General features: G+C 33.9%; 1 long non-coding RNA gene across 1 annotated transcript; it reads right to left on the reverse strand.

Moving 5' to 3' along the window:
- Positions 1 to 1,774: 1,774 nt before the first annotated feature.
- Positions 1,775 to 8,168, reverse strand: LOC107986050 (uncharacterized). The gene is made up of 3 exons (XR_001740573.1): positions 7,951 to 8,168; positions 7,079 to 7,132; positions 1,775 to 1,848 (listed from the first exon to the last, which is right to left on the reverse strand). It is a non-coding gene; the product is annotated as an uncharacterized LOC107986050 (long non-coding RNA).
- Positions 8,169 to 8,972: the final 804 nt, after the last annotated feature.

The raw sequence follows: 8,972 nt of genomic DNA on the forward strand, positions 1-8,972 counted from the left end.
ATTTGCACTTTGAATGGTAAATTTAATTGTATGTGAGTTATATTTTAATAAAACTGTTTTCTAAGTAAAAAATGAAATAAACACTAAAAGTTATTACTGTCTTAATGGAGTCTCCAAATCATCTGTTGTTGTTGTTGTTGTTGTTGTTGTTGTTGTTGTTGTTGACAGGGCCTTTCTCTGTCACAGAGCACAGCGGCACAATCATGGCTTACTGCAGCTTTGACTTCCAGGAATCAAAGGAGCCTCCTACCTCAGCCTCCAAAGTAGCTGGGACTACAGGCATGCACCACCATACCTGGACAATATTTTTAAAAGTTTTGTAGAGACAGAATCTTACTGTGATCCCCAGGCTGGTCTCAAATTCCTGGACTCAAGTAATCCTCCTGCCTCAGCCTCCTAAAGTGGTGGAATTACAGGAGTGAGCCACTGTGCTATGCCACCAAATTATTCCTATGTTCTAACTCTTCAGCTACACCATCAAATGAATCAGAATAATACAGGATACATATAAAGGTGAAAAACACATGAGTGATGCCTCATATTGACATAATGCACATATACTTTCAATTCAAGAAAATGAGATTTACCTGCATTTCCTGAAGCATGAGATTTGTGTTAAATATTTAGGATCAATAAGTCAATACATATCTCTTTACGCCAGATTATGGGGGACTTTAAATGAAGTTGATCATGTATTAAAATTATTGAATATAGGTGATGGGTACAGGTAATGATACTATTCTGTTTTCATCACCCATTTGAAATTGTCATAATAAAAACTAAAAAGTGTATATTTTTAAACTACTGCTAGACACTGGAGAATATAAAAATAAATAAGCATGTCTTTGGTCCTTAATGAGTTGGAAATTTAATGGAGAAATACTGTACCACATACCCAAAAAGAATTATTTAAAAAGAAAAATTAATCAAAGGATTGTGGTTAAAGAGAGAGAGGTGGGTAGAGAAAGATGGCATCCTGCCAAAGTGTTATAAGGAAATGGCATTTAAGCTAAGATTTCAATAGGCAGAGCTGGGAGTGAAAAGCTGAGAGGACAAAAGGTGACAGGGTAGTTTCATGTTCAGAGCAGAGATTTGCTCTGGAGATAGCCTGAAGAATTTGTCTGAGTGGTAGGAATCACAGAGAAGAAAACCAGCTATAAGGCAATTGCAGTAAATCTATAACTGTAATACACAGAGCTGAATAAACGTGATAGCAGTTTTTAAAAAAAACAAGCCAGTTTGTTAAAATATATTAGGAAGAATGCATTCTTAAATAGCAAATGCTCTTGTTTTTCAGTAATAACAATGACAACCATCTTGTAATGTAAAGGACCACTAGAAGTCATTTAAACACATACTCATTTAAGGGATAAAACATTAATTTTTGTTCAGTGTGAGCAACTGCTTTGATAAGAACATCAGTACTTCCTCTGTTTATCTATTCCATTCTTAGACACTCTCCCTCAGAACTAAGAAAGCTCACTGAATCTTAGTTATTCTCTCAGAAATCACAGAATAAACCTTAGCCTCACCCACATTACTTTCCTTCAATATTTTAGGATGGTCTTCATGTTTGTCATACTTCATTCTAGAATAAACATCCCCAGTTGCATACAGTTTTCAAATTTAAGTTGAGTATTTATGGCTTACTAAAGGCTACTGATACATTCAATCATGTAATCATTTTAGACATGAAGCAAAGGACCTAATAAAATAAACAATAAAAAATGTCCTCTGCAGCTATAGCCACACTGTGTCCATGTGTCCTGTGAATGCCATCGTGCTTGCTCCAGTAGTGCACAGAATTCACACAAAGAGTTTTGGAAAACATGACTTCATCAATGATACCTTAGAGAAAACATACTGATGTTAAAGGATGTCTTTTTACTTACGTATAAGAAGTGAAGCAAAAGATATTTTCATTTTCAATCATATTGTTTCCTATGACAGAAATTACAAATATCATTTTCTATTTCAATTTATTAAGGGAATAATAATAAAACTATTAATACTAAAAGTAAATATGGCCCTAAGAAATTATTTAATCCAGGCTCTTAGTGCTAAAGCTAATTTCTTTTATTTTCACAGTTGAAATTATAATGGCCCAGGAAATTGGAGAGACATGATTAAGATTACATCATTAATGAGTTTGGAGGTACCAGGGATCAATTGGGTGAACATGTAGGACCATCCTGTCCCATTTACAATAATTAAATTGTAGCCGTGTTTCAATGTTTATTATTATTATTAGTACTTCAGCTCTTAGAAATCCTGTTTTAATTTTAAATGTTATGATCCTCATTCTATCACAGACCCCTTTACAGTTTTCTCCCCTCCTCTTCCATCTGTGCAGTGGGAAGCCTCTAATATAACACTGAGCTGGAAAATCAGAAGTAGGAAGAAAGAAAAAGATGTCTTCTCTCTTATCCTGCACACTCACGTTCTACTTCAAAGTGAAAAGGCAAGAATATCTTTTAATAGTTTTATTGGCTAAAAAGTATTGTAATGAATCATGTAATTGTATTGCCTCAACATATGCTAAGTATTGTTAAATTCTGCTGTATCGAGTAATCACCTGTAAATGTTAAATATACTTTGTTTGATTTCTACAGCTGCAGATAACTAATAAATTGATGTAAATTAGCAGTCTTGATTTGAAAGATGTTTACAGGAGTGTATTGGTCAGGCTTCTCCAGAGAGACAGAACCAATGGGATATATGGAGAGATAATATGAGAGGGGATTTATTAGTGGAATTTGCTGACATAATCATGTACGCTGAGAAGTCCCACAACAGGCCAACTGCAGGTTGGAGACCCTGGGATTCTTATAGTGTGGTTCAGTCTAAGTCCGAAGGCCTGAGAACCAGGGAAGTCAATAGTGTTATTCTAAGGCCAAAGGCTTGAGAACCCAGAGGGCAACTGGTATAAGTCCTGGAGTACCAAGGCCACAGAGCTTGAGGTCCTGATGTCCAAAGTCAGGAAGAGAAGAGTGTCCCAGATCCAGAAGAAAAAGAGAGAGAGAAGGAGGGAGTAACGAAATGTTTTTCTCTTTTTTCTTCTGTCTGAGCCCCTAGCCAATGGAATGGTGCCTGACCACATTGAGGGTGGATTTTCCCCCACTGAGTTCACTGACTCACACACAAATCTCTTCCGAAAACACCCTCAGAGACACAACCAGAAGTAATGCTTTACCAACTCTCTAGGTGTTACTTAGTACAGTCAAACTGACACCTAAAATAAACCAAGTCAAGGAGTGACTTGGAAAAATATTCACTGGTTATATATGTTTGTGAAAATATACAGAGTGCCTACTTCTTGGAGATTCTCAGATCATATTGTTACAGTAGCAAAGTTAAAACAGTTGACAAACAAACATTTTTCTCTAAAGCATCTTCTTCATTCTTTTTGAAAACATGTCAGTGTGTATATGTGTATGTGTGTGTGTGTTTGCATGTGTGTGCATGTAAGATGTGTTGGTTTGTTTGTATGTATTTTTGTCTGGATTTTTGTTCTATTTTCCCCACATACAAATAACACAATAAACACAGGTAAACATGCATGATTAAATAATAACTCATTGAATTTTTAAGAGTTCATAGTATTTGGCTTACCATATGCTTATGCAATTTATTATTATTCTCTCTTTTGACAGTGGCTATATAATATCTAACCTTCAGCTAAGGTACAATTATTTATCAGATACTTTTGTTTGAATTCAGACATTGTACTTGAAACCAGGAAAACTGCCTTTCAAGTAAAGCAAACGATCCATATACTTAGTTATCAAGGAAGGGCAACACCCTATTTAACAATTACTGTTAAGGAGTAATCTGCTAGTCATGTCTAATTTAAGCTTAAAGTCTTTTTACATTTTAAATATTTTTGATAAAAATATATATAAAATGTATTAAACAGTTCTTTCACTAAGGACACAGAACATAGTTTTATAATTACGTTATGATGAACTGATAATTTCTAGACATTGGTACAACACAGTAGTATCTTTAGAAATAATTGAAATATAAGTATGATTGAATTCAACAAATTTATATTGATAATGACTGTAAGTTTCTCTTAGCTGCTTTGTCTTTACACATGTTTGCTCTTTACATTTTATCAATTTATTTTTATTTAAATGCAACTAAAAATGATAAAAACAGAATATTTAAATTAATGTCGGTGTTATGTTATAGCTGTTTTACCCTAACCACAGAAGCATATAGAAATGTAACAATGTAACAGTTCTAAAACGTAGCTCATTAGATGTTTGTCTAATATTAGATTGAAAATACTTGAAATAAAGAATTAGAAGCTCTCCTATGCACAGGCTATATGCAATACTTAACAACCAATATGGTATGTGTACTGCCTGATGAACTTGAGCACCAGACACAGCACGGAAGCAGGATTCTGAAACTCTCCATCTGTATATCCTTTGAGTGCAGCATTATTAAGAGGACTGAGGCTTTTGGAGTATAGGCCAAGGGCAGCTGCAACTCTGAAAAGTATTTGAAACCATTTGGAATTCATTCAATAAATTAACAACTACTGTGTTCAAACCAGTGTGTACTGGCTGAATATTAAGCCTTTTCCTATAAACGTTAGCATGGGGAATGAGGTTAGTGACATGTATTTTAACTGCTCAAATACACACACACACACACACACACACACACACATAAACTGCATATATGTGTGTATTAAATGCACATATATTTAATTTTCTTGGCTGGTTCCAGGTGAATTTTGGATTGTACATGTGATGGATAAGAGTTCTTCAGTTATTTTTGCATTTCGAACATCATTTTTAGTATTTAATTTCAAAAAGAAATTCCTGAAAGGTACTCTCTTATTTAATAATTATAATATTGAAGAATATGATTATATCTAGGTTATCTTTGAGAGGCAAGAAAGCCTTTATAATTATCTGAACAACTGTTTAATATTAAGAATTTTCAAAATACTACCTAGGATAAGAAAAATTAGACATATATTATAATTGAAATAATTATTTAAAATTGTGCTTTGTACAGGGAGGAAATTTATAATAATTAGATAACCATGATTGCCAGTTATTCAGATGAAAATTTTCTACATGATCACTTAGGAGGAGTAAAAGGTAGATAGTTCAGACTGTTGTTATTAAATTCTTTCCTTCTATCTTAAGAAAAGCTTGACACTTTAATATCCCAAAAAGAAGGAATATTCTTTAAGAGTGCCATAGCTTCAAAAGTTGACTAGTTTCTCAGTAGATCACATTGTTCTCTTAGAGATTTTAGTGTCATACTCAACATTGTAACCAGAGTCAAGAAATAAATGGCACACACTACAAGAACTGTAAGACGTATCTTGCTTTCAAGCCTTGAAGTTAATAGAAAAACACCATCTGTGACTATTCATTAGCGTGAACATAATAAATAACTATGATAACAAACAAAAGGTTTTATTTGAATTCCCTTTATCCTATTTCTATTGTACAGTCTTGCTCACATGCATAAGGAAAAGCTGTCTTGAAAAATATCTCAACCATATTTTATGTATAACCTATTGACTTAGTTAAACTATACAGCTATGAAATTAGTAGAGCTCCAGGGATATAAATTGTCTTGATTTTTAAGAATAGAATTTTTGTTGAGGTTTTAGGTGGTAATATATCAAGGTTTGTCTTTGAAATATACGTTTATACATATAGCTCACAGACAGCTCAAATATTTCTCCTGTCTAGTACAAAATATCTAAAACTCAAATTATAAAAATTGTCTAAATAAATATTTAATTCCTATTCATATTTTTTGTCAACAAATGGGCAGTATTTTGCTGATACAAGTATAAACTTCTCATGATCAGAGGCTACTTTCTCACAAACTTGTTTCACTACATTTTATTATACAACTATTTAATGATTTTGTTTTTTCTTTTTAAAAATTTAACCTTGGAAACTAATATTTTTGGCTTTTTTTCCCCACAGTTGCCTTGAAACACATAAATCACTAATGTCTTTAAAAAACAGATCAGGAGGAATTCATGTATTTGAAATGAATGCCTATGTGAGGCCTTAATAAATCAATGTAAGTAGAAAAAATAGCTCATTTGTGTGCTTCAAATCTCTTAGACTACTTCTGTGATTGATTTAATGTTACTTATTAAAACAAATAGGTTAATACAATTAAAATGTTACAATCCATTAATGAAATTTCATAAAAAACTATAATATAATTTTTAATTACTTGAATGAATAAATTTAGTTTTTATAAATTTAGTACTAATATTTTCATTATGTTCTTAAAAACTAAAGCAAAATGTTATTTAATTATCATTGCCTAATTTTAAAAAGCATATAATTACAGAAAGAAAAACCTTTTTCCTAATATTGTAATGTAGACCATTTAAATGCATAGCTTGTCATATAAAAGACAGTTACTAATCTACTAGACAATACATTTTACCATAGTTTCACAAAGGACACAAAAATATTTAAGGAAAAATCCTTAGATTATCCTGCCAAAGAATCTGTTTGTAATAAGAAAGAACTCACTGATACTATCTCTGTGAAACCAAAGATGATACAGTTACAAAAGGTATTTTCTAAGGATCAAACCAGATAACTGCTATAGAAGTAAAACAAACAAAATTTAGAAAATATGTTTGAAATACCACATTATTACTCAAGTCTCAAATGTTTCAGATGAACTTTTGGCATATTCTAAACTTATAAATTAATCCCAACCACACAACCTTGATTTTGCCAACACAATTGAATTAACTATATCCCACTCTCTCTGCTACTCCACATCACTAGAAGATGAGTCTGACTCAAAATGAAAATGTAGAAAGCTGATGTCAGTAAGATGGTAGAATAGGAATCTCCAGATCCCCTTCCCCCCCAACAGAGATACTGATCCAACAATACACAGATTAATTTCCTTTGTGAGAAACAGTGAAAACAGTTAAAAGTCTCCTGAACCCTAGGTGAATGCAAAATCAGCTGCATCAAAGCTGGTAAAAAAAAAAAAAAAACAAAATAAACAAAAAACAAACCAAAAAAAAAACTGTGGCACTCACTCATTAGAGCCCTACCTGCTAGCTCAGTAAAGTCCAATTGAGAAGGAACTTCCAGTTTCTGTCTTCTCCCTGGAAAGGGAAATAAAAGACTGAAACACATGTCCAAAGTCAACACTTTGCAGGGGGCTGCTAGATGAACTAGTTTCTGTTTTGCCTGAATCTAAGCACTGACAAAAAAGGTTTTAGTCTGGACAGTCTCTGAGAACAAAGACAAATGTTTAGACTACATAAACTCTCTTGCCAAAGTCTTCCTCATTTCAACTCAGTGCTGAAGGGGTGAGAGAAAATCCTCAACTTGTAACTTCTTCATGGAGAGGGAAAGAGGTAGAATGTGTGTCCAACATTCTGGTTTTTTGGAGGGTAGCCCTAGGGACCGGTTTCTGTCTCATCTGCGTCAAAGTGCTGACAGGACCCAGCGTATTCTAGATGTCTGAAGGCCCTTGAGAAGCAAAGAGAACTGAGCTGCCTGCTGCTGCTGCAGAGGATTTGGAATAAGCAGATGGAGGCTGAAACAACTTGATGGGCTCTCTCTCAGTGGGTAAAGAGAAGAATGAAGTGTTTATCCAACTTTCTGACTTTTGCGGACACTGTTTGAGGGACTGTTTGTGTCTCACCTAACTCAGAGTCCTGACAGGACCCAGCATACTCTAGGGTCCTGGAAGCTGTTGAGAACAAATGAAAGCTGTGTGGCTTGTGGCAGCTACAAAGAATCTTCAGTGTCATGGGCAAACACCAGAAAGAGCAAGTGATTACAAGGTCCTAAAAAAGAAACTGGCGAACTCCTCTAATTGGGAATTTATACACAGATGTTCAAGGAAGATGCATCTACAGAAAATGTTGGAGAAACCCTCAGAATCTCTAGCTTGGCTGATTGACAAAGGTCTTACCTGTATGATGTCTATCTTCAAAGATGGGGAGAAGTGGTTGTTTTTCAAATGAATGAATTTCAACAAAAAGTTACAAGACGCATGGTAAAACAATAAAACGTGGTCCATTCCAAACTAAAACTCTAGAAACTGGTCATAAAGAAGTGAAAGTATATAGATTATCTGTGAAAAAATTTAAAATGACAGACATTAAGGTGCTCAGTGAGCTCAGGAAAATGATACATAATCAAAATGAGAATATCAGCAAAGAGATAGAAATTATAAAATGTGGCCGACTGCCACTACTACTACTTGAGACCGTCATTACAGCAGTTACTGCTGTTACTGCTTGAGACTGTCATTACAAGACTGAATGAACGGACGAACATAGAAATCATAACAGAAAACAAAAGTAACTATTTTAAGGAAAGGCTAGCATGGGGAAGAAGAGAGCTCCCTGCTTCTAGTGAGGAAAGGCAGCCCCTGAGCTTCCACAACCCTTCTTATTTATTGGGTAACAAGAGCAAGAAGGAGGAGGTAACGATTGGTCAGCTGCTTAATTGACCACAGGTTCATATTGTTACTGACAGGCTTCAATTATGCCTCATTATAAGAAACATTTGTGCGGCCTCCAACAGCTGCAAACAGTCAACAAAATTACAAAGGAAGAGAGCAAGAAAAGAAAAGGACTAAAGAGCTACAAGACAGACAGAAACAACTAAGAAAAGGCAATTGTAAGTACTCACTTATCAGTAATCAATTTAAATGTAAATGGTTGAACTCTTTGATCAAGAGAAATAGAATGGCTAAATGTATTTAAAAAATAAAAATAAGATTCAACTATGCAATCTCTACAAGAGACCCACTTTATATTTAAAGAAACACATAGGCTGAAAGGGAAAGGAATGGAAAAGGTATTCTATGTAAATGATAATAAAAAATTAGAAATGGCCAAACTTCTCTCAGACAAAATATACTTTGAATCGAAAAATGTCACAAAAGACAAAGATATCATAGAATAACAAGAGTCAAATTACTAGGAA

The sequence above is a fragment of the Homo sapiens genome, chromosome 3 (genome assembly GCF_000001405.40).
Source record: "Homo sapiens chromosome 3, GRCh38.p14 Primary Assembly".
Classification (NCBI taxonomy): domain Eukaryota; kingdom Metazoa; phylum Chordata; class Mammalia; order Primates; family Hominidae; genus Homo; species Homo sapiens.